The following is a 27,603-nucleotide window of genomic DNA, read 5'->3' as shown; positions in this document are numbered from 1 at the left end:
TACTTTATACACAGTAGTTGTATTGTTGAGCCATTTGGGTAGTGTTACTGTCTCTATTCTTAGGGCAAGAATGATACTCATTATCTTGGACAGTTTTTTGGGGTGATATACCCTAGTTTATCAATTTTCATCTTAAACTGACTATAATTTTCCACGTGTGATCTAGGCACCATATTATAAAATAGGACTTCTATTTATAAAAACTATAATTTATGGAGCACTTACAAAGTTCCAGGTACAGTTCAATGTGCTTTGCTTATTAAATAGAGATAGATAAAATGGAACAGTATCAAATCAGGTAAGTTAAAGACAAAGAAAGAGAGGGGTTTCTTTTTTATTTAGCAAAATTAAACTTCCCTATGGGATTTTAATCCTATTGACAGTGACTACTTAATCTTGCCACTTATAGTCATGGCCATTTATGGATCAAAACATACATTGAGCTGATGGTCTAATGCAATTAATGTATTAATATTTCAATCAATGCTTACAACTTCCTTTCAGATCTTATTTCAATTCTCAAAAATCTTTCCCTCTTACTTCATCTGTTCCCATTTTTAAATTTCCCTAGCTCATTTGTGTCAGAAGCTGGGAGCCTCAAGAACAGAATGAAAGTATTGCTCATGGTTGGGTGCACATTCGCATAATTGTGGTAGCGCAGCACTTCTTCGCTTTCATCTGCTCCTCCAGCTGGTGCAGGTACCTTACAGTCTCTCTTGGCATAAATGGCTTCTGAAGTTGGCTTTTATTGTGGGACCATGAGATTGACCTTCATGTGACCAGATGGGCCTTCTTGCAGATTACTGACTTGGTTTCTTCTCCACAGGCATGGCCGAAGCCTCCCTTTTCCATCCCCAATGGGTGACCTACTCCACACCCTCAGTTGGTGTGGTCATGATATATCAGTTATAGTCCCATTCCAGCCTGCTGAGAAGCTTTAAAAGAAGTAAGTTAAAAATAAATTTGTTATTATTCACAGCTTCATGTAAAGTATATGAATTCGATCAGCATGCTTTATTAATTGAAATAGTTATTAATTTAAAATGTTGGGTATTACTATAAAGGGAATAGAGCTCTGGGACTTTACTTGAGATATCTTTCCATGTTACATTATTAAATTTTCAAAGTTTGCATCCAATTAATCAACTACTTACAATTTTACCTAATTATAATGCCATTCATCTTCCATTCTTTTGTCTCATCTACAAGGTTATCAAAAGTTACAGTCAATGTCTTACAAGAAATAATATTCTACATGTTTAGAAAATTTCCTTAAAATCGTAATAAGCTAGAAAAAGAAAAGGAATGGGAAAGGTAAAGAAGAAAGACAAAAGCAAAAGATGGATTAGGAATGGAGGAGGGAAGGTAGAGGAAGAAAAAATGAGAAGGAAAATAAAAAAAGGGAAAGAAAAATTCTCATTATCGATCCTCCTTCAAATCACTATAGGTAGAGGTGCTTACTGAAATCCTCTCCAAGTGTTCACAAAACAAGGGTTTAGTAATCTATTATATGGTGGGTTTTTTCATAATTGAAAAAAATCATAGAACCCTTCTCCTCAGCTAAAGTCTTATCTGAAAAAAGGAAAATGTTGATGTTTTGATTGGGATCTTAGTGCAGGTACTCTGCCTCTCCTGATAGTCCTTCCTCACCCTCACCCCAGTCCCTTATGATTTCTCTAAGAACCCCAGAGCATGGAAAACCATAAGACATGGGACAACCAAAGTTTGTCAAATTCCTGTCATATAGATCTTGCTATGGAATTAATTCAAACTCACTAATCTGCAATACAGATAGTCCACTCTTTGTCCTCTATTTGTTAGAAACCAGGATGTTATTTTCTGCCCCCAATTTTTTTTATCATTTCTTTCATTTCCTACAAGTCTTGAAAACGTATTAGAAGCAGACATGTAGACATCTCTTCCCCAGTTTCCCTTGAAACCTATAATACAGTGTGTCTGGATCCTGAGGAACACCACGTCTACTCTATCAATTGTATCACTTCACTTGACGTTCAATTCCCACTTGTCAATATGTGTTCTACCCTCTGTAGCTGAAGGGTTGTTTTCTATAACAAAATAGCTAAAAATCCCACATGAGTGAAGGTCTTCTGTTTTCCCCTGTTTTCTGTTAACATTATACCATCTGTCCCAAGTGGTAGAATTATTCATACTTTTGTCTTCCTTGCTCTTCACATGCCTTAAAAAAGCCTTTGGGTACCTTTGACATTTTTTGTTGAAGCCACATTTTATTCAGTTATAGATTTCTTCACATAATTTATACAAGTTTATAGAACTGTTAATACTACTTCTTGGTCATATCATCCAATTTCCATGTTTTGTACATGACAAATTTTACTTTAAATCAACAGAATCTAAATGTTAGTTGGTGCTGTATGCTGTAAACTTGAGTTCTTCAGAAAGCTCTTTCTAGAAAGAGCAATGCCAGTATATTTCTCTCTTCCTCAATGCCAGCTTTTAACCCTCAATGTAGGGATCCATTATAATTTTTTAATTTTTTTTTGCGTTATCAATCGTTGCTAAGCCACTTTTCCTTTTAAAGTCCCAGGACAGAAGATTCCATAAATATCTTTAATATTACCTATTAAAATCTGCCTTCTTGAATATTCAACTACACATGTGATGTGTTGTTCCCTTCTTTAGTTGCAACCATTTGCTTCCAATATCTACACATATGCAAACACCGTTAGTTGATGGTCTCAATCAAGTTCAGAGTAGTATTTCCAATTATAACTTATTCTGCATTCTGAGAAATAAAAATTTTATTCAAGTCCATTTTTATTGGTTGAATTGTGTCCCAGCAGAAATGTATATATTGAAGTCTTAACATCCAGTACCTCAAAATGTGACCTTACTGGGAAATAGTGTCATTGTAGATGTAATTAGTTAAGATGTCATTATACAGAAGTAGAGTAGGCCCCTTACACATTATAACTAGTGTTCTTATAAAAAAGGGAAATTTGGACACAGACACAAGCACAGAGAGACCATCATGTAAAGATGAAGGAGAAATTTGCATCTGCAAGCAGGGAACAGCAAAGTTTGCCAGCAAACAACCAGAAATTAGGAGAAAATAATGCAATAGATTGTCTCCAATAGTGCTCAGAAGAAACCAACCCTGCTAATTCCTTGATCTTGGAATTCTAGCCTCCAGAACTATGAGACAATAAATTTTGGTTGTTTACACCAATCTATGTGGCCATGTTATGCTGGTCATAGCAGACAAATACAATCAGTCATAAAGGGATCAACTACTATCCTTCTATAATTTGTCTTCTAAATGGATCCACATAACTGGAAAATCCCATAACTGTAGAAACTTGTGTATTTTTGGTCACTTTCATTTTCATTTTTTTCCTTAAAGTGTATATTCATTTTCTCCATCTGGCTGGAAATTATTAACTCTAAGTAAATTTTACCTTTATTTTATTATATGATCACCTTATTTGGATGTCTGTTAATATTTTCAACATTTTTTACCTGAATTGCTTGATACTTTATTATTGCTCCTCTTATTGTGACATATCTATATCAGAAAGAGAGAATAGTATTTAGGTACTATCCATGTATTTAGGTACATGGGCTCGGGAGTTAGACTGCTGACTTTAAGATTTTACTAACAGTATGATCTTGATCATGTTTCTTAATTTCTTCAGACCCCACTTTCTTCCTGTATATGTGAATATTTTTAAAAAGAAAAAATAAAAGAGGAAAAAACCTATCCAATAAGTAAGTAGAGATGATTAAACAATCTAATACATAAAAAAAACATATAATACTTAACAGTGTTGCAGTCTATAAAAAGTACTCTACAAAATTTAGTTCTCATAATTTACATATTCTGGCCTTTTTTTTTCCATTGAATTAAAGGGTTTCTCTTTCTCTCTCTCCTCTCTCCACTTTTAGGTTAAAATCCTACTATCAGATTGTCAGGTGTCTGGGTCACTTTTTCTATCCTTTCCAAGTAATTCAATCCAAATCAAGGGACACATTATTAATGCTTAAATCATGTAAAAGAAAAATGCCCTGTCCTTCTACTCAGCAGCCATTTGTTTACTCCCAATTTTCTTTCTTTTGAAACATGATTATCTTCCATTTTATAAAAAAGATAAAATCAGCTGTATCTTCGAGCCCTTTTCAGTTTTCTACTTGGAAGTTCATAGTTTCTCAGAGATTGTACTCTGGCAGTGGCATTTGTCCCAATATACATCAACAGGAAGATGATAATTTCAAAAATGCCATCAGATACTCTGCCACAATAACAATATTGAATATGGGAAGACTATACCCCACCCTTTTCACAATAGCCCGTCCACAAAAGACTTGAGTCCCGAGACATCAATTGCCTCAGCTTTTCTTGGGGCCAGGGACAGATTTCCTCAAATCTGCTAATGACTGAAAATTCTCTGTACAGTTCAGAGAAACAAAGACTGCATTTCCTATTAAATATCTTAGTTGTGCTGAGGTGGAAAGAAACTTACTTGCCTTTATAGCACTATTGGTTCAAACTTCTCTCCTTTATCTTCTCCATCAGTTTTTCTGGTCACCAGCATAGTTTCACTGATTTTGATAGTCTTTATCTTCCTCATAATCTTGTTTTCCCTCTTGCCTTTTATTCAGGTTACTTCCTATGTGCTATCTAGGAATATGTCAACCCCAATAAAGAAGTCTTCCTCAAACACTCACACTTCTTTCAATTTCTTTTGCCTTTTTTGTTTGTTTCAAATTTGAAATTTCACAATAACCTGACAAGTGATTACCACTATTCCCTTAACTATTTTTCAATCACAAAGTGCAAACACAGATGCAATCAAACATATTACAGAGAGCTCTGATAAATGTTTTTGAATATATTTTTGTGTTCCCAATCTTCTTCTTTGTACCTGTTTCACTCCTTTCTTTGGCAGGCCTTTAACTATTTCTAGAATTTTTTGAATGAGTCAGGTACAGATAGCAATGAATTAAATCAAGAAAATGCTTCACTAAATTTGTCGTGCAGCATCGTCAATTGAAGACAGTCATGACCTAAAACCCCCATTTGGCACTTTTCTTTTGGCAAAGACTGCCAAATGGCTGATGATTTAATAATCCTGCTTTTGGCTTGGGGAGCTGTATAAATGGACATTTGGATGAGACTAGCTAACTCATTATTCACGTTGACCTAAAAAGTGATCCCTTAAATTCTAGCAGGAAAAGGTTAATGATATAATTCCCTAGACTCCTTTGAATTTTAATTAAAATTATTTTTAAAAGAGTTTGAATTTCAATATGAACTGGAGCTTTCTAAACTATCAGGTATGTCATCAAAGCTAAATCTCTTCTATGCAGTAAATGAGAAACTGACAATACTCCTCATTTTTATTTATGCATTTCATTCTATGAACACTTCCGTCAATGCATTTCAAATAATCTTTGTACTTCTTTAACCAAGCAATGCTATCCACTATTTGTCAATGAACTATAATGAATCACATTCCAAGAGCCAAATTCTCTGAATGATTTTGATAGGTATTTTCCAGATATGCAGTTTGGAGCAAGCTTGTATTTTAAACCCATGGAACATTCTGTATATATGTTTATTAATTTAATGTTCCTTTCTTACTGTGGTATCTTAATTTCTTTAGATCTTAAGCAAGGGGTGGGAGAAGTAATGCAATATTATCTACAAGCAAAGCTTTTAAATAATTAAATTAACTCTTTTCCCTTTTGTTATGAAATGTCAAAACTGGTCTTTTGGGGAATCATGTTACATAATACCAAACTAATAATTTTGATAATAGCAAATACATTGTAATAGCCTATAGCTATAAGGCACTTACTCTATGCCAGACATTATTCTAAGTATTCTACATATATTAAATCAATTATTCCTCCCACCAATCTTCTAAATAAGTACTACTATTATCCCAATCTAACAAGTAGTAAAACTGAGGCACAGGGAGGTTAAGTGGCCAAAGTAGGATTCAAAGCTGGCTGAAACCACAAGTGCACAATTTGTTTTAAGTTAAATGAATTATTGCCTCCAGATCTATATGTATAATGAAGCCTAATACCTCAAATATGATGAGCTTTCCACTTACGGATAATTTTATGCTAAATATAGTATTATATGGAGTATTATTAGATAACATAGCCTGATGTTATATGTTGCAATTTTATTCACTTTCTATAATATATAAATAAGGAAGAAAAAGTAAAGAAGATTTTTTACTTTTACTTATTAATGTTTTTGAGATCAGGTCTCACTCTGTCATTCAGGCTGGAGTGCAGTGGTGCAATTGCAGCTCACTGCAGCCTCCACTTCTTGGGCTCCAGTGATCCACCCACCTCAGCCTCCTGAGTAGCTGGGACCCCAGGTGCACACCGCCATGCCCGGCTAATTTTTGTATTTTTGGAAGAGATAAGGTTTCATCATATTGCCTAGCCTGGTCATGAACTCCTGAGATCAGGCAATCCACCCACCTCGGTCTCCCAAAGTGCTGGGATTACAAGCATGAGCCACCACACCGGTCTAAGGGAAGCAGAAAAGTGATTTATTGGGTGCTCAGGAATACAGTGAAAGGAGTGTTCTAGAATACCTGGGAAATCTCAGTTGCTGAGAGGGTTATATTGTTCAGCACATGTGTTATTGGTTGTATTCTCCAATATCCCGTATGTATCAGAGTCAAATGCCATATGATATTCTCCTATGATTAAAGTTTTCAGCTAAGTCAATGTGTATATATCACATTGTATATGTATATTGTATATGTCATTGTATTATATATTTATGTTATGGATATGTATAAGTTTATCCTGATTTTTTTCCCTCAAGGATAGTAATACATTGTGGTTCTTTGTACAACAGTTCTCATATAACCCACTTTGCTAGCAAACATTTATTTCATATGATTAGATTTCCTTGTCTTCGTTATTATGAAGTTATACTTCTCAGTGTAAATTTGGATTGTCAAGCCTTAATAAGACTGTTCATACTAAAGATTTAACTTGTTTATATAATAGGTGTGGTTTCAAAGACTGTATCGTATATAATTTAGTAAGGAAAATGCATTCTGCTCCAAAAAATATTTCAAAAATGATCTTATTGTCTGTATTTTTCCTTTAACAGCATCTTTTAACATTGCCAGTGAGCAGACGGATGTAGAAAGAATAACAGCAGAAGGACTCTCAATTCAAAGACTTAAACCAGCAGGTAAGGACAGATTCATGGTTTACCAAGCCTAGACCAGTATTTTGGAACAGCAGGTAGAGAGACGACATGATTTGGAAGAAGCTTGAAGCAAAAGAAGACATTTTTATTTTAAAGAAATGGTAATTTTAAAAGGGTAATATCCTTGAATTAATGATGGACATGTACCAAATTAACTTCTTTAGGAGAATTAACTTGCATTTTTTTAGTCTCTATTTTGCTTATATTTTCCTCCTTCTTAGAAGCATGAAAATCCAGTTCTTTTTTACCCTGCTGATTTTTTGACATTTTCCATTTGGCAAAAAGGAATTTCTCTCCCTCTCTGGTGTTTCTAATGGAGCTGAAACCCATGTGATTAACATGGCTTCCTTCCTCACGCTAGGCTTGGCATCAATATCACTTTCAGAATTAATATGTATATCTCCTGAGAGCAAGCACTAATTTCTAGGAGTTCTAGCTAAAAAGCTATTATAAATGGCTACCCTTACTGGGCATGAGAGCTAAGTGGAAAAGAAAATATTTTGGGTGCTTGAATCTTTGCCTTTAAATTATTCAGAAAAAATTAAACTTATGTTATTGGAATACCAAGATCAAGTTACAGACTTCTTCCCCTTCAGGGGGCAATTCTTCTCCTGACTTAGTACAAATGAGCAATATTTCAAGCTTTCTAATCTGCTACATATTAGAATCACCAGGGGAACTTTTCAACTAAAACATATTAGCATCCAGGCACCACCTTCAGAGAGTCTCAGCCAATTGTTCTGGATGAATATCTGACATCTAATGCTTTTTAAAACGTATTCCAAAGTTGATACAAATCTACCTCCAGGATTTAAATCCTAGGCATACTCTATTTATCCTTATACAATTAAAATGTTTTTAAAAAAATCACTGGTGAAATCAATGATCCAAGATAATTAAACTATTTAAAATATTTCCATTAAAATTAAAATTCCTCAATAAAGTGAGGTGGTTGTCCTAATCCATTTTGTTCTGCTATAACAGAATACCTGAGACTGGGTAATTTATAATGAACATAAATTTATTGGCTTATGGATCTGGAGGTTGGGAAGTCAAATCTCCAGATTGAAGGGCCAGCATTTGACAAAGGCCATGGCAGAAGAGCAAAAACAGGGTAAGAGAGACAAAGAGCTTAAACTCCCAGACTTGAGCCTTTTTCGAATCAGCATTAATCTGTTCATGAGAGTGGACCCCTCCTGACCTAAACACCTCCCAACGGGCCCCACCTCTCAACACTGCTGCATTGCAGATTAAGTTTCCAATACATGCTTTTGGGGGGGACACATTAAAACCACAGCAGAGTTCATGCTGGTTTTACATTTCATGCTCACCAAAATTTAATTTAATGTCAGAAGCTTAAAATCAGTTCTTTGAAAGTAATTTCTCTTTCTGTTAATTCTCACAACCAATTTATCAGTAAATTAAAATATGCCCATATCCTGATCATTTCTCACCATGTCTACCACAACCACCCTTGTCCACCATCCCCTCTTGCCTTAAAAGCTCCAAGTCTCCTCACTAGTTCTCTCTTTTTCACTACTGAACCCCTACAAAGTAATCCTTTAAAAATATAGGTCAGCTCATGCCATCACTCTGTACAAGACTTTCAAATGTCTCCCTAGGTTGCACCCAATAAATGCCTGAGGCCTTACAATGCCACAGTCATGACCTGGCTGTCCTTCCTCTCAAACCTCACCTCCCCCTGTTCTCTCTCTTGCTCTTGCAGCCTCTTGCTCTTTCTCAAACATTTCAGGCATGCTCCTGCGTTAAGAACCTCCCACCATCTGTTCCCACTGCTTGGAATGCTCTTCCCAGATATTTGCATGTCTAACTTCCTCACTGTGTTTGTTTTTCTTCTTCTTCCTCTTCTTAAATATCATCTTCTCATTAAGGTCTACCCTGACCAATTTACTTAAATTGTAACTGCCTGCCCACCACCTCTCCCAGTACGCCTTATCCCACCCTCCTTTTTCTTTTTTCTACAACACATATTTTAAATTCTATATAGTTTTCTTATTTTTTAATTGTATATTGTTTCCCTCTTTAAGAATATGAGTTCCATAAGATCAGGAACCTTTGTCCATTATGTTCAGTGATCTATTTCAAGGGACTGAATCAGTGTTTGGCACATGTTAGGTGTCACAAATAATAATTTATTGAATGAATCGTGATGAAATAAATATAGGTGCAATATCTGGGACCATGCTTTCTAATGGCAATTAATAATTTCCTTTAAAATATGATAATATTCCTAGCACTTTGAGAGGTCGAGGTGTGTGAATCACTTGAGGCTAGGAGTTGGAGACCAGCCTGGCCAACATGACAAAATCCCATCTCTACTAAAAATACAAAAATTAGCTGGGCAAGGTGGCACATGCGTGTAATCCCAGCTACTCAGGAGTCTGAGGTCTGAGAATCGCTTGAGCCTAAGAGGTGGAAGTTGCTGTGAGTCGAGGCCATGCCACTGCACTGCACTCCAGCCTGAGTGACGGAGTGACACTCTGTCTTAAAATATATAGTACATGTAAAATAAATATATATACTAATACCACCACTTTCTACCTGTGTGACATGGTAATATTTTATATATATATATATATATATATATGTGTGTGTGTATATATATGTATATATAAAATATATGGTATATATTATATATATGGTAATGTTTCACTTTAGCAGGACTATTTGTATGTTTCTAATTAGTTTTCCATGATAAGTATATTGTTCTGATTGCTTCATTGCTCCTGCAACTTCCCCAGGTCCTCACATTTTTCGTGCAGGAAAGAGATATTAATATATATATATATATATATACATGTGTGTGTGTGTGTGTGTGTGTATATATATATGTGTGTGTGTGTGTGAAGAGGCATTCCTATAAAACTGTGTCTTGATCCCTAAAATTATTGTCATTTCTTCCACTCGTAGACACAACTTTCTACTCCATCTTCATATTTTCCCTTAAAAAGTAAACCTATCCCATTACATATCAAGCAATTTCTTTTCTTCCCATTTTCTTTAGCAGGAGAGTGATAAATCAAAATCCTTTATCAAGGCTTTATATAATTTCTAAATCTGTAATTTTACCAATTAAATTGGTCTGATACTATGTCTCACATGATTCAAAAAATTTTGAGAGAAGTTAACAAAACTTCAAATACAAAAAAGTGCTGCATCTTTTCTCCTCACAATGATAAATGATTCTTTCATTTTGGGTTAATTTTTATCATTTGTCATTTTGTTAATTCAACAAATAATTTTCAGCAGAAGGCAGTGTTCTAAGCACTTAGGTTCACCAGTGAATAAATCAAGCAAAGGTCCTTGCCCTTGTGGAGTCCACATTCTCATCTTCTCATTCAGTAACCAGCTCAAGCATTGTTTTCATCTGAAAGCCTAAAATTTTTTATTCCATTTAATCTTTATTATATTCATCATGAAGATTTATTTTAAAGAATAGAACAATGGAAATGATAGCCTCCTGCTAATAAATTCCCTTGCTCTGACTGGGTGCTATCGTTCTGAGATTACAGACTTCTCATTGTTGGGAGTACCAGACCTGGAACACATCTCCACCACTTTCTACCTGTGTGACATTAGAAACGTTCTTTAATTCTATGTCTACCATGTTTCCACTATCTACAAAATGAAAATAATACTTCACAAATTTGTGTTAAAATCCTGTAAAGCACCTACCACATTATTAGCCAATAACAATTGGTTATCAAACCAGTTATTATTCAATTCTGCATAGCAAAGAAAAAAAATCCAATATTATCTGTCAATAACAGCAGTGAATTTTTTAAAAGTAATTCTTTATGATAAAGGCTCAATAAAATTATTTTACTAGTGAAGAAAGCTACCTGTCTCTGAGGCAGTTTGTCTCTTTATTAGGGTTGAAATCATATATTACCTACTCCAGAGAGAATATATGACCAAGCTAAGTTAGAGTAAATTCCCTTGCTACATCCCCAAATCATCTAGTCTTTCCCCTTCCCCATACTTTTCAGACTCATGATTACACAATTCATCTCTGACTCCACCACTTCACTGCAAGCTGCAGGACAGCAGAGAAGTCCCGTCCTGCTGACCACTTAATCCCCAGCACACAATATCAGAGCCAGGGTGTGGCAGGAACTCAATAGATTTCTTCTTAATCACAATGCAAGAAACCAGTAAGAATTTGTAATTTGACTCAGGAAAGTCTATTTACATTTTATAGTATAGCCTAAGTCATCTTTAGTCCTCCATAGGAATTATAAAAGAAGCTGAAAAGTACATTTAAGAAAAATTATGGCTAAGTGCGGTGGCTCACACCTGTAATCCCAGCACTTTGGAAGGCCGAGGTGGGCAGATCACCTGAGGTCAGGAGTTCGAGACTAGCCTGGCCAACATGGTGAAACCCCGTCTCTACTAAATACAAAAAAATTAGCCAGGTGTGGTGGTACATGCCTGTAATCCCAGCTACTCGGGAGGCTGAGGCAGGAGAATCGCTTGAACCCAAGGCGGAGGTTGCAGTGAGCCAAGATCATATCACTGCGCTCCAGCCTGGGCAACAGGGAAAAAAAATCATTTTGGTGCAAATTTCCTGAAAAACAAAGCAGACTATTTGTTACAGCTTTATTTTTTTCCATAGATTTGTTATATATATTGCGATTGTTGATTTGTTTGCTTTCTTTCATTTTGTTTCTCAGGGAATTGCCTCCATTGAAACTATTATTTCCAGAAATACTAATGAGCAGCCTACATCAGCTGAGAAAAGTGAAACTGGAATTCCTAAAGATAAAAGCCAGGTACTGTAATGTGGGAACGAGCCATAGGCTTAGAAGAAAAGGATGTGGTTCCTAGCACTGCTGCCCAGTTCTTTTCTTGTGTCACTGTTTGTGAGCTTTTAGGCTAAGTCCTTCCATTAATTACATCATTGAACTGTCACAATATCCCTGTAATGAGGCTTCTATTATCCGCTCCATTTTGTCAGTGATAATTGTGTAGGTGAGGTTAAGAATTCTCAGAGGTGCACAGAGAGTAAGAAGAGTTGGGTTTCCAGTTCAGGATTCCCTGACTCCAAGTCATCAACTTTAATGCTATTTACTCTTTTGAAGGCCCTTTGTCATCCTGATCCTGAGTTCTCACAGGAACAGTTTTGCATATCTTGTACACAAAAAGAGACCCATGAAATAATCAAAATCCAGTTCATTTAATTTTTCAAAGCTATTTCTCTGAAAAGATTTTATAAAGAACCATTTTATAAATACAACATAGTTTTAAGAGGCATTTTTTTTTCTCCAAAGTAGTAATGTTAGAAAGCTGCTATTCTTACAGTTAGAAGGGGTGGCGCGTGGGGGGGAACTTGTAGATATTGCAACGCATCATTCAGCGGTGAGCATTGCTTAGGACTTCCTAAGACATTAAATAAAATAACATTGCTTTAACAAAAATTGCAATTAGCAGTAAACATCTGGCAATTGTCTCCACATTTTTTCAATATTCTTCTAGCATGAATGCAACCAAATAATTGTTATTTTAAACTAAAATAAGCATATTTATATATTCAGGTCTATAACTGACACAGTAATAAAAATGGTAGATTAAGTTTAAAGCAGGAAAATCTTATAGCTATATATTATTTACTGAGTGGTATAAAAAGTATTAGAAAAATGGGCTATTTAATTTTATAAACCTAGTTTAAAGGAGCCCATGATAATTTGAAAGTTCTAGTTTTACATATTATCAGTCCTAAGAATATAGTAGAGGAATATTATGTTAGAATATCCTTCATTCTCTTGGGGAATAAATTAAAACACAAAGCAGGTAAAGTGACTTCAATTGCCAGCAGAGCCAGAAATGAGAAAGATGCCCTCTTTTGCAAAATGTACCCAAATCCCTGCTCATCATATTCACACACCCAAAACTTTGCTTCTCACAAAAAAACTATATTAGGAGTTACTTGCTGTTTGAAATGGGGCTGAGTGTTATTATCATGAAGAGCTCGCTTAAAATTTTAGTGATAGTGTTAAGGTGACATCAAATACATTAAAAAAAAAAACTAGAGAAAATGGTGAAAAATGAAGACATAAAGAGAAAAATAATTCTTTTAAAAATAGTGCTGCTGTTATTCTTCAGAGTAATAGTTTCATGTTCTTAAACTCTGGATTGTGCTATGGTTCCCTTCACCACCAACACGAGGGTTCCTAATCCACACCCTATTGCTAAAAATGAATGTTTTAAAAGGAAATTTTTGTGGATGGTATCAAGCACAATAAAGGCAAAGCATTCTCTAACTGTGCTTTTTGCTCAGCTCTTTGTTCGGCTATTAGATTGTACTGTTCTTCACATAACATTTTGCAAATCACTGGGTACATTCAGAAGGGATGTGTGTGTGTGTTTGTGTGTACCAGAGCAGCCCAATGCTAACCTTGGCTGCCCTAATGTTCTTTCATTTGGATATACTTTGGATTAAAACAATTGCAAAGCACAAATGTGAATTTCCAGCAAAGGTGACCTTTCTTTATTATTAGATTACAACCTTGTTTCTATAAAAATGAAAGTTACCTTTGAGCATTGCCATCCTAAACCTTTGTTAAAAGAGCCAGATGCTTCCCTGGCTTATTACTGGTTGATACGTAACATTTAATTAGGCATTTACAGGGATAGATTCAAGGGTCTCTATCGGTGAAAATTGTCCTTAGGCTGCTAATGGTTGTAGTTTCCTGGTATTTTTTTTCAAAGGAAAAAATCAAGATGCCATGAAAATAACCAGTAATAGGTACTCATGGCAAAGAAGGTCATTCAACACATACATGAAATATTCTGTTTTGCCAATTCATGTGGCCTTGCTGACTATTTTTAGAATCAGGTGATATCAACCCTTGTTTCTCACAGAGCTCTAAGCAGGGTCGGTACCTGGTTGGGATTGCTGACAGCAGCCCCAGCCAGGTTACTGCTTCACAGTTTCCCCTGCCAGCTGTATGGCCATCTTCCTGCCAGCCATACGCTCACCATGGCCACCTGCTGTTGCTCCCAGCTGCTGCAAGACAGCCCCTGCCAGTCACACCCTGGGGCCTCTGCCAGCTCTGCAGCAGTCCCTACCTACCACATGGCAGCCCCTGTACCCTGTGCATCCGTCCCACTGTCACACACAGAAAAGTTATTCAGTGGGTTGCCTAAAATTACCTTTCCCCCACAGAGCCTCTTTTCCTTGAGCTCAGTGTTTGTATGAGGTGTGGTTTAATTTTCTTCTTTTAGACAGTTTGCATAATTTATGTGAAAGGATTCTTTCCATGGTAGGCTGAGATGCTCTCACAAGTACAAATGCACTTCTCACACTTGACCACAATTCCCTTGAACTTAAGATCATTGAACAAAAACAACTAAATTTGAAGTTTGGAATCTGGATTCTAACAAAGTATAGGGACTTTAAATAATCTTTTCTTAAAGTATATAAAAAAGGCATAAATTAGCAAAAGAAGCTGCCCACATAATAGCTTTATATTTTTCAAATTCCCCAGAATATATCAATTTGGGCAGGGTTCTCTAAATCTTGATTAATCAACTGCAACAAAAATAAATTGACAAAAAAGCCAAAAATAATTAAATTCCAATTGTGCTGTAAGATATTAGAATAGATGGAGAGAGATTTTTTTTAAATGCTTATAGATATGGCTCTGTCCATAAGCAGTTTGTATTTTAATTTGTGATTAAAGTAGAAGCATTTGAGATAGCATGTTCCAGAGTACTGCAAGACCAAAAGATAAGCACATGATTAATTGTGCATTGTATACTACAGCATACGTGTATACACAATGCTAGGAGCGTGGGGAAGGAAAGAATCAGTTACTGCATTAAGCTGTGAAGCCTTCTAAAGGAAGTGGATTTCAAGTGGGGCCAACTTAACTGGATTAGAGAATTGTGGTAGAAAAGTACTGTGCCCTGTTGATGAGTCCTCTTGAACAGCTAGGCTAAGGAGTCTGGATTTTAATTGGTAGCCACAGGAAGTAACTGAAATTGTCTTGGGAAGAGGAATGACATGGTGCATTTTTGAGTAGGTTGAACCAAATGAATTTGTTTTTTTTAATAGGTCAAAACCATTAAAGCATCAGTAGTTTCATAAAGTTCAACTTAATATAAAAGATAAAGTGAAGAGGAAATAACCAGACTAGGTTTGGTTTGGTTTTTCCACGCACCTCCTGCTCTGTCAACTAATTTGCCAAATTATTCCATATCCTGTCTACTTTCTTACACTAAGAGGTGAAAAAATACAAAAAAGTAAAAGATGAGAAGACGAAATAAAAGGATAAGGAAACAAGGCACAAAATCAGCAAGAATCATGGAACATCTTAATACTTCTTAATAAAGTAAAAGTAACTAAATCTTGGAAATCTCTCACGTGAATCTGCATTAACACTCTTATCTCGACATAGGGAATAAAGCAGTTCTAAAAAAATTACACATTAGCCTATTCACAGATTTAAAAATATGACTTGACTCTTACAATTCCTTTCTTTATCTCCCCAATTAGCTGTTATTTACATTTTCCAAAAGAACATTATCTTAGGTTTCTAGGCTCAAGTGAACTCTGGATACTTGTGTCTTAGCGCATTACTTTAAGTTACAATTTTAGGGATATCCATTTACTTGTATTTGATTTGATAAAGGAATCATATCTTCTGCAACACCTCAGATGATACAATTTAAATGCCAAACATTCGGCTTATCAAAGAAATGCACAATGTCCTATGCTTTTGTAATTTTCTTTGCATCTGGGATCAGTTAATCTCCAGCCCACACTCTGGGGCCTCTCTTTCTCCACAGAGACTTTAAGGAGCTTACCTCAAGCTCAGAGTCAGCAAAATTTACTCTTGTTGTTGTTCATGCACAATGCAATGTAGAGCCTCCTGTAGTGATCCAAACCCCAGATGGTTTTGTTATCCCATGTTGACTTCTAACACCCCACTTACTCTCTCAGCTCATCTTTCTGCTTCCTTCTCTGCAGCCATTCTTCTCCCAGCTGGACACTTTTCCTCTAGTCCACTACAGAATGGAATGTGATTTTTTTTGTCCCTTCCTTAACTCTTTATTCTCTGAAACAGCTAGAAGGAAACATAGAGGAGACAATGTAACAGACAATGGTAAAATTACAAAGACAGTATTGGTCATGGGAACTATCATCTTTATTAGAGTGGAACTTAATTTAGATGTGTTCTCGCTAACTTCCTACATTGTTCTTTCATGGAGGCAATATTTTTCTGCCTCTGTGGAAGTTCGAGAACAAATAAAATATCTATCTCTTTATCTTTCCTGGGAAACTTTTGAGTTTCCTTTGTTCTTAGATAAAAGCCTCCCATTTCAGTCCCTATAATTCTCTGAAACAGATAATAAAAATGATAATATTTTAAAATTTTTAAATTTTTAAAAGTTTTTGTTAGAATATACAAAAAGAATAATTTGCATATACCAGATCCTCTGACAACAGCCTGTATTTTCATCTTTGAACTTCCATTGATTATCTTTCCTGGCATTTGCTTAGAAAGACAGACTTCATCTTGGATTCACTTTCATTGGGTCAAAACTCAAATCCTAGAGGGTCCAGAAAAATAATATAAATGAGTGACAGAGTCACATATAGGAAAAACAAGGACTGGCGGGGCAGTGATGACCTGGAAAGCTCATCCCATCTTAAGGGGGCCACAGCTAATAAGCACTAGTTGATAATTGCCTTATAAAAAGCTCACTCAGTGTTTCCATGTTTTTTAAATTAAAAAAAAATTCATTTGATAAACTAATTTAAAAATACTTTAAATATAATAATTTAATGACAAATATTTACAAATATTCCTTGAAAACATTAATTATAATAATTTATACATGCAACAAGTAAATTATTTATATCAAGAGTTGGCAATTTTTTTCTATAAAGGGCCAGATAACAAATATTTTCTGTTTTGTATGTCATATAGACACTAAGCTCAGCCACTGTGTTGACAAAGTAGTAATATGTAATTTCATGACCAAAGCTGTATTCAGTAAAACTTTGTTTACAAAAAACTGGAAGACCAGATTTGGCCCATGGGTTTGCTCACCCTAATCTATACATGTATCTATCTAAAGGCTAACCATTGAGAGTTTTACAGAGTATATATCTAACAGTCCATATGTTCCGCTTATCTCAAATTACACAATGCTTGCTGAGGGAAATCTTCCCAGGTCTGGATCAGATTAGGCCTTCAGTTTGGTGTTCCCATTGTACCTGCACCTGCACTAACGTAATATTCAACAAAATGTCACACTGTGTTATAATATTTTAATTTTTTCTGCTTTCACTAGATTATAAGCTTTAAGGGAATGATGACTTTGTCCTGGTACTTGGTATCCATGATGCCTGGGACATAGTGATGGCAGTGGTACCAGCTGCAGCAGGGAGGTGTGCTGGGGCTGCACACTCCATGGAGCTGGTGGGAGCCCTGTCCCTTCTGAGTTGGGGCAGGAGCTCCCTGGATGCCGCTGCTGCCACCCAAGCTGTGGCTGCAGACCCAGGGCTCCTGCTCTATGGAACAGGCAGGAACCCCACCCAAACTGCAGCTGTGGGTCTGAGCCTCCGTCTGCTCTTGGAGGGGGCCAGGAGCAGGCAGGATCTGCCCTCCTGGGTGCAGCTGAAGCCACCCTCCCAGGCGCAAGACCCTGGCATCTCTGCAGCCTGAACCCTTAGGGGACCCAAGAAGGACACCCCTAATCCTCCGAGCAGGCTTCGTGGGTGTCTGCTTCCGCTGCCTGGCCTCTCTCCACTCCTGGAGTGTGCTCCAATCTCAGAGCAGGGGTTGGGGCCAATCCCTAGGGGCCATGAATGGCAGCGGGAGGCAGACTGATTCTTGGATGGAAAAGGGGACTGATTCCTGGGTGGAAAAGGGTGGGTCCCCAGTAAGGCCTCACCTTCAGGCCAGAGAGGGCCTGAAGGGTGGGGGCAGGCTGCCAGTCCCATGGACTGGAGTGGGGGCTCGTGGTGCCTCTTCCCGCCAGCCTGTGGCTGCGCATGGATGATTCCACAGGCACTTCCTCCCCTCTGAGATCCATAAAAGTTCTGGACTCAGCCAGAGCACAGGAGAGGATGGCCAGAGAAGAAAAGGGCAGAGAGAGGATGGAACAACCAGTTGCAGAGAGGAGCTACCCTCTCTGCTGAGAGCTGCAGAGATGACCTGCAGGCAGAGAGGAGCCACCCTCTCCAGGGCCTCACCCTCTTCCGGGCCTCCTCTCTGCTGAGAGCTGCAGACATCGATTGGGATGACCAGTGAGCAGAGAGAAGCCACTCTCTCCAGGGCCTTCTCTTTGCTGAGAACCGAACACCGGGTGAATGACCTGCCTACAGAAGGGAGCCACCCACTGCCACTGCGCGTCTCCTCTTAGCTGTACAAACACTCAATAAAGCTCATCTTCCTCTTGTTCATTCTTCACTTGTCTTTGTACCTCATTCTTCCTGGATGCAGGCCAAGGTGCCACAGCCACAGAGGCTTCTGGCCAGAAAATCCACACCCCAAAGAGATCCTGTAACAGTAGTAATCATAAATATTTTCAGTGCATTTTTTATTTCCTTCCATAATTAATCTAAACTGGAAATTTTTTTTAGTGTTTTGTTTTTAGTAGAAGAAAGCCATAAGATTATTAAATGTTTGTATCTTTATCTAAACTTCATCATTCATGTCTATATTATTTTACCATTTTCTGTTATATTACTTCCTGCCTTAGTTTGTGCCACTATAAGAAAATACCTGTAACTGGTAATATATTCTCACAGTTCTGGGAGGCTGAAAAGTCGAAGATCGAGGTGCTGGAATTTGGTGTCCCATGAGAGCTGCTCTCTGCTCCCATGATGGTGTCTTGTTGCTGTGTCCTCCACAGTGGATAACACTGTGTTCTCACATGGCAGAAGGGAGGAGGGCAAAAGGGCCAAATGTTGTGTGAAGCGTCTTTTATGAGGGTCTTAATTCCATTCATGACAGTGGAATGTAGATAACCTAATCACTTCCTAAAAGCCCACCTCTTAATACTATCACATTGAGAACACCTGAATTTTGGAGGAGACACATTCAAACCATAGCATCCCACTTTCCCTGTTTCCTTCCACCAGAAAAAGAAAGGTGAAGATAAGTGTCAACTGCAAGAAAAATGGTTGCAGAAAATTTTGATGGAAGTATCATCATCGATGTTATCCCTATGAAAAGGAACATTTCATTTTTGTAGTCTTAGTATCAGGAAGTTATGGAACTAATTGTAGAGAGTCTTCTGCTATAACATAGGGATTAAGAGCCAGATTCCTAAAGTTAGACTCCTTGGGTTAAAAATCCCTGCTCCGGCCAGGCGTGGTGGCTCACGCCTGTAATACCAGCACTTTGGGAGGCCAAGGCAGGTGGATCACCTGAGGCCAGGAATTTGAGACCAGCCTCACCAACAAGGTGAAACCCCATCTCTACTAAAAATAAAAATACAAAAATTAGCCGGGTGTGGTGGCAGGCGCCTGTAGTCTCAGCTACTTGGGAGGCTGAGACAGGAAAATTGCTTGAACCCGGGAGGCGAAGGTTGCAGTGAGCCAAGATCACACCACTGCACTCCAGCCTGGACAATAGAGGGAGACTCCGAAAAAAAAAAAAAATCCCTGCTCCATCACATCACTTACTATATGTTATCATACAAGTAATATAGGCTTTCTGTTAACTCAGTTTCCTTGTCTACAAATTGTAGCTAATACACATAACTTCCTCATATAAAGTAAATTCATATAAAGTCCTTCGAGAGATGCTTAGATATCCTAAGCACTCAATAAGTAATAGCCAATCTTTTCAGTTTACATGTTTGAAATCATTCCTTCATCTTCTCCATGACCTTACTCAGTCCACTCAAGTAAGCCTTTGGCCAGGTCTCCCACTGGAATAGCCCTTGCCACTCTCGCCAGTGAACTCCTTGTTGCCACAGCCAATGATCTAATGATAATTACTTTTCTTTATTTATCTTACTTTTTTTTTTTTGAGACAGGGTCACACTCTGTTACCCAGTCTGGAGTGCAGTGACATGATCTTGGCTCACTGCAATCTCTGACTCCAGGGCTAAAGTGATCCTTCCACCTCAGCCTCCCAAGTAACTGGGACCACAGGCACTCATTACCATGCCAGGCTAATTTTTGTGGGGTTTTTGGTAGAGATGGGGTTTTGCCACATTGCCCAGGTTGGTCTCAAATTCCTGGGCTCAAGGGATCCTCCCACTTCAGCCTCTCAAAGTGCTGGGATTACAGGCATGAGCCACCGTGCCCAGCTGATATTTTCTTAGCATACATCTTACTAGATCTCTAAGCAGATAAACCATGTGACATGGTTAGTACTTTCTTTTCTATCTTACGTCTACTTCATTAGCCCTTTCTTCACAGTCTCTTTCTTGCTGCATCCCACCCTCTCAACCTCTAGATCTCAGAATGCTCCCATGCTCAGGCCTTGAACTTCTCCCCCTTTACTCACTACAAAGTGACCTCATCCACATCCAGGGCTTTAAATACCATCTAGATGCTGAGGATTCCCAAATTTACACTCTAGCACTAAACTCATGTGAACTCCAAACAAATGTGTCCAGCTCCTACTCACCTCTTGACTTGACTGTCTAATTGCAACTCTAAACATATTATATCTAAAACTGAACTTGATATTTTATACAGGTGCACACACACACCTCACTCACACAAACATATGCTTTTTCCTCTTAATAAATAAATGACAACCTTATATTACCAGTTACTTAGAATCAAACTGAACCCCTCAATCTTATTGCCAACAGATCATTTATCTACAAATCCTACCGCCTCTACGTTTAAGAGATACTCAGAATTTCAATACTTCTCACCATGTTTATCATTCCTACCCAATCCAAATCCTATCATCTCTCATATGACGTATTCAGATAGTTTCAGGACTAGTGTCTTGGTTGTCAATTTTGTCGTTTCTATGGCATATCCTCCACACACAGCCAGAGTAATCCTTGAAGAAGGAAATCAGGCCATATCCCCTTTCTGCTGTAAATGCATAATGGTTTTGTATTTCAGACAATAAAGACCACAATTCCTAATATGGCCTGCAGACTGGGGACAGTCTGCCTTTGCCAACCTCTAACCTTATTTCTTCATATTTTCCATAATGTTTGTTGGACTCTAACTGCTCTTATTATTCTTTGAAAACAGCAACTGCTGGGCACAGTGGCTCATGCCTGTAATCCCAGTACTTTGGGAGGCTGAGGCGGGTGGATCACAAGGTCAGGAGTTCGAGACCATCCTGGCTAACAGGATGAAACCCCGTCTCTACTAAAAATACAAAAATTAGCCGGGCGTGGTGGCGGGCACCTGTAGTCCCAGCTACTCAAGAGGCTGAGGCAGGAGAATCGCTTGAACCTGGGAGGCGGAGGTGAGCCTCCCAGTGAACCGAGATGGCGCCACTGCACTCCAGCCTGGGCAACAGAGCAAGACTCTGTCAAAAAAAAAAAAAAGAAAGAAAGAAAGAAAGAAGGAAAGAAAGAGAAAAGAAAGAAAGAAAGAAAGAAAGAAAAAAGAAAGAAAGAAAAAAAGAAAAGAAAAAAGGAAAAGAGAAAAAGAAAGAAAACAGTAACTGCACCTCTGCACTGGGGCCTTTGCAGTGGTGTTTTCTTTACCTGGAATGTTCTTCCCCAACCTATCCCTCAGGCCCCTCATTTTCTTCATGTCTCTGCACAAACCACACCTTATCTGAGTGGCATTTGTGCCTCCCTGCAAGACATAGTACCTCCAATCATGCCCATAATACCCCAGCCTCATTGTTCTGCTTTATTTTTCTACAGAACACACCACTATTTGATAAGTGTATTATATATATCCAGTGCATTGTCTGTATTTCAACATATACTAAAATGCAAGCAGCTTGTGAGAAGAAACTTCATTTCTCATTTGATTGCTCTATTCCCAACATGTTCAATGATGTTGGGCACATTGTAGGTGGTCAATAAATATTTTTGGATGAATTTGTAATATTTCCAGGTGGCTGAGGCACATTAAGAGCCTCTAATCCACTATCTTTGTCCTTTCCCAGTTTCTAATCTTGTAGTTTATTTTTGTGAAATTCTATGTCTCTGTGATGTAGCATTTCTAGAAATGTCAGTTCCCCTCTCCAGGTGAATTATCAGTGAAATCCAGAGGGAATATGGGATGGTCTTCAAACAGTATTGAGTTTTTATGTCAACTGCAGCATAAAGTCAGAATCTAGTTTAAAATGTCAGGACAAAGTAACATAAATCGAAGGTACAGGATTGTGGTCTAGACATAGGATCTAGGGATGACAACATGAAAATGCAGAAAAAATTATAAGAAAAATAATCCATGTACAAACACTGGAAGAGTCTATTAACTCAGGCAAAACAGACTGAGTTTTTCTTTCATGAAGCTGTTCTCTATGGCTGGGTAAGCATAGTCACATTTCATAACATCTAAAGTTACTGCCCAATATCTTCTGTGAAAAAGCTCTGCAAACTTTTGAAATCTAGTGCTTAGTGGAGTATTCTACACATAGTGCACACCTAATGAGTATGCAATAAAGCTGGTGATAAAAACATAGGAGATTTACTACCCCCACCTTATTAAAATGCATGTGAGATTTTTAGCAGGTGAATACTATCAGGAATGTGTTTCTTTAGCAGATAAACGACTTTCCTCGCATTTTTTCTTTCCTGTTGATGTGCAGACTACTGAATGCCAGCTAAGCAAACAGAGAAAAAAAAATTTATGTCATCTTTCTTGTAAAAAGTTGTAAAATACATACGAAACTAGATGTCAAAGAGAAAAGAGGATTCTGTTTTAAATTCTCCCCAATAGTGACGACAACCTTTTAACACTATGCCTATTTAGTTTTTTTAATACTCATCATCTCATTTCCTCCAAAGAACACTCAGTAACTCCTTTAACTTGACGTGTGTCTTCTTATCTTCACACAAATATTAAAGGTAACCCTGAAATTTCTTTATTGTCTCAAAAGCCCAAAGGACTTTTGGGCAGCTGGGTGTGTTATAACTTGCCTATGACCAGCTTTGTCGTGACCACACTTTAAAAATATCCAAACTACTCCTCTACCTCATTAAAATTAAATTATCTATGAATAAATAATTGATAATTATGGTTTTAATATTCTGGTTACATTTGTCACATATATCATAATATCTAGCAAAGGTAAGTTTAGCTTTATCTACAGGACAGCGACTGACTTCAGTGTTTATTTTAATGTTAGACCTCTCTACATTCAACGTTTTGCAACCCAACTTTTTCAATCTCACTCAAGATAAAAATAAATTGAACTAACTTGGGGGGGAGAGGGAGCTTTTCCAGCAACTACTCTCATTTATTCTTATTGTCTCTGCATAGTAATTATTAATTCCTCTTTCATTCCAAAAAGTGTTTGGATAATTAATATTCATCCTAACCATACAACTACATCAAAATGTTGATGTTTCTCTAAATACTTTTAAAATGATCTGTTGAAGTTGTTTTCAAAGTTAATCATCCAACCTGGCTTATCAGGATATTTTTTCATAATTAAATCTCATTTTAGATCAAAATAATATTATAAAATTTTATCACCCATTTAAAAATAAAGTAGCCTAAATCACTTTCAGTTGTTTCTAATAACCAAGTACACTTTCAGAAAAACAAATATTTGTTGCTGAGAATTTCAAAACATGTAGCAACTAAACACAAAAGGAACTACAGCAGTAGTAGAAATAGTAATAGTAGTAATAACAGTCATAGTTAAATAAGTACCATATATTATTTAGTATTTTCCAGTTATTGTGTGAATATCATATTTATATATAGATAATCTCATAGATAGATAGATAGATAGATAGATAGATAGATAGATAGATAATCTTCATATCAATCCTGAAAAGAGTGATATAATCTTCATTTTATAGATGAGAAACTGGAACTTGGATCTTGATTATTTTAGGTAACTTGACCAGGTCTCAATACTAGTAAATTGCAAAGCAGAGACTCAAGGCCTCCATTTGAATTCATTCCAAAACTTGTGGTCCTCAACACTGAGCTATACTTCCTCTTTAGTCTCTTATTCCAAGAAGATTATCAAATGTATGGATAAACTTGGTAATTTCTGGGAATACTGGTGATCCAGTATGGCTGGATTATAAGATAATGAAAGGGTGCATGCTATAGAAAAGAGGTTTGTGTCCCTCCAAATTTCATATGTTGAAATATAGTCCCCAGTGTGGTGGTATTTTCATATGGGACTCTGGAAGGTGATTTGGTCATGAGGATGGAGACCTCATAAATGAGATTTGGGACCTTATAAAAGAGACCCTAGAGAAATCTCTTGCCCCTTCCTCCATGTGAAGTTATAGTGAGAAGATGGCCTTCTATGAAAAAGGAAGTGAGCTCCCACTAGACACTCAGTATGTTGGAGACTTGATCTTGGACTTCTCAGTCTAGCACTGTGAGAAATAATTTTCTGTTGTGTATAAGCTAGCTAGTCTATGGTAATTTTATAGCAGCCTAAAGAGACTAAGACAAGGAAGTATAAGAAAAGCAACATGGGGCTTCCTTATAAAAGATCTCATGAGCCAAATTCAGAAATTTTTATACTATCCTGTATATAGTAAGGATTTAATGGAGCTTTTCAAACAGAATAGTGAAAAGATCAAATTATTTTCAGAAACACAAGTTTGGGGGAAGAAAAGGGGTAAAATTAGAGAGATACTAAATATAGTAAGCCTAATTAGGATGCTAGTTCTAGAAAAAAGATAACAAGATCCTGAATAAAACCACTGATAGAACAAGACGAAAGAAACTTATAAAAGAGATTTTTAGGAGACAGACAAGGCGTTAGGACTTACTGGCTGAAGTAAACGGAGAGGAATAAGATGGGAAGGGTGATTTAGGTATGGCTCGGGTTCCTGAGCAAAAGGTGGTATTACTGACCAAGAGAATGTGGATCAGTTGCAGGTCAGATCCTTTTGGGGGCAAGAACGTTTTAAAGAGTTGAGTTTAATAATTGTTAAGTTTGTAGTTTTTAGTTTCTATATCAGATTGACAAGGCAAGATTTGAGGGGAAGTCTGGAAGTGCTGTAATAGAAAAGATCATGAATTAAAATAGTTTGAAAACTTGAGTACAACAAGTAATTAAGGCTTAAACAAGAATGTGAAAATCAGGCTGTGAAATTTAATACCAACCTTCACCTATCTGAAGTACTACTTTGTATCAGAGACTTTATAATGATTCTTTGCTATTCCACTTAGAAGTAGAAAAATGATCTAACTTTTTTCTATTTTCCCTGATACAAAATATAGAGGATGCTACTCAACATCCAGCAGCGTTAGTGCATTGACCCTTTAGAGCCAGAAATAGTATGCTTTATGTTGACTGTTGAGTATTACTGTGATTTCTGTTTTATCAGTTTTTAAAGCCACTTTAACATTTCAAATAATAATAGTAACCTTATGACTCTACCATGGCTAGCCTTATATTTTTACATTTGTGTGTTATGGTATAGCTTCCCCAGAGTAGTAATATTTAGAGTAGGAACAAACATAAAGCAACTGAGGCTGACTTGTTTGTTCTAATCATTTTTTATCTTTTTAAAAAGGTGTGTTTGGGGGGAAAAGTAAAGGCTTCTCATGTACTAGCATCAGATGGATTTGATACCAAACACTGTACTCCTTTTCACCTCAGGGCTGCTGATATTCTGTACATATTCAACTGCTGGCAATAGGCAATAGTAGATGCTGGGAAACTGTAATTCCAGGTGTGTGTTTTATGGCTTTATTGTAGTAAGTACATGGCTTAGCTGAGCTAATCTCTCAGATTTAAGTTTATGTTTGCTTAAAATGCTGACATTTCAAATAATCATGTAAAATTTGGAAGTTATAGCTTGTAAGAATTTAATCATAGGTGCAAAAGATAGAGACAACTAGGTCTATTGTCAGGTATCTATTAGTTTATTGATCTTCACAAATACAGAAAAAAATGACAGCTGTAATTTAAAGGTAATCTAAAATAGAACACTTAATAAGAGTTCTGTACCATGTATTAAGAAAGTATGTACTAAAAAAAATGAAAACAGGAACATATAGAGGACTGAAGTGATAAACTCATAGCATTGTGGTCCACTCTGGTTGTCTTTTTGTAATTAATTCTGATCATATTATCCAGAAATAGATTCAGATGTGTAAACAGAATTAATCTGATAACAATATTATCTTTAAGGCATTTTCAATACAAAGAAAATGAGCTATTTACTTTAAATCTATGTTTCTGTCACTGCATCTACACAGTGTGGTATAATAAAAATAAAACCTGTTGAGAATTCAGTTACTGCAATACATCTGATTCATATTCTTGATTTTCAATTTTGTTAACTATTATGATAGATTTTAAAGTAGAAGATTCTTAAAAATCATACAAGTGAGTCATACATGAACCAACCCAGTGGAAATTAAGCTTTTTGTGTAAGTTGTGTTCCATTGTTGATATTGGATCTGAAATAAAACATAATTACATTTTTCCAAATTATTTTCTCTCACATTTGGAATTCATCTGTGGAAACAAAGATTTCTATGCAGTCATAGAAGACCTCGAGAAAAGTGTCGAGAAACTTCTACAAAAGACTAAATTGACTGCATTTTAACAACCTATACCCAGCAAAAGCCTAGGGAAGCCTGAAACTCTACTCTGACAGAATGGAGATAGCACTCAGATCATCGAGTTTGTGAATAATTAATGGATTGGTGTAGAAATAATTAAAATCCCTTCCTAACCTGAGGTGAGTGGGAAGAAAAATCTCTATTATAGCATTTTCTATCTTCTTCCATCAGGGTCATGACATTATTAGAATTTCCATATACTGAAACAGACAGATAATGAGTTCTATTTGTTCTAAAGCTGAATCTGTTTTAATAAGGTTTACTTTTAGACTGTATTTTTGTTCGACACTTATTCAATATATATATATATGCTTCTTATGAAATATTTCAGTAACTTTGATCACATGAGAGTATTATTTCAATACAATTTATTTTGCTCATTTGGATACCATGTATTGTCTACTCTGTGTGAGGCATGTAAGATACAGGGAAATACAAAGTAAATTCCTACTCTCTATGATTTAACTGTCAAGAAGGGAAGATTGTGCAAATCTTCTATTATTCAATTATGATTGATTGTGCAAATCAATCATAACTGAATAATAGAAATACAATAATAGGGATACATAAAATTTTTAGTTATTCTGGGAAAGGGAATAAATAACTGCCTAGGAATAGAGAAAAGCTCAGTGAATAGTTAACATTTGAGATGAGTTTTTGAAGGTTAAATAGGAGT

General features: G+C 36.7%; 2 long non-coding RNA genes across 3 annotated transcripts; one reads left to right on the top strand and one right to left on the bottom strand.

Moving 5' to 3' along the window:
- Positions 1-318: 318 nt before the first annotated feature.
- Positions 319-20,275, bottom strand: LOC105377382 (uncharacterized). 2 transcript variants are annotated; one of them, XR_001741795.2, is made up of 3 exons: positions 16,683-20,275; positions 16,186-16,317; positions 319-935 (listed from the first exon to the last, which is right to left on the bottom strand). It is a non-coding gene; the product is annotated as an uncharacterized LOC105377382 (long non-coding RNA). The 2 variants fall into 2 exon arrangements; XR_939095.3 differs by lacking the exon at positions 319-935 and having other exon boundaries at positions 11,773-16,317; positions 16,683-16,804; positions 18,686-19,622.
- On the top strand, positions 6,633-26,901 carry LOC124900763 (uncharacterized). Its single transcript, XR_007058238.1, has 5 exons — positions 6,633-6,669; positions 7,127-7,210; positions 11,923-12,021; positions 25,957-26,029; positions 26,835-26,901. It is a non-coding gene; the product is annotated as an uncharacterized LOC124900763 (long non-coding RNA).
- The last annotated feature ends 702 nt before the right edge of the window (positions 26,902-27,603 follow it).

This window comes from Homo sapiens, chromosome 4, assembly GCF_000001405.40.
Source record: "Homo sapiens chromosome 4, GRCh38.p14 Primary Assembly".
Lineage (NCBI taxonomy): Eukaryota > Metazoa > Chordata > Mammalia > Primates > Hominidae > Homo > Homo sapiens.
This window is presented reverse-complemented; position numbering and strand designations above follow the sequence as displayed.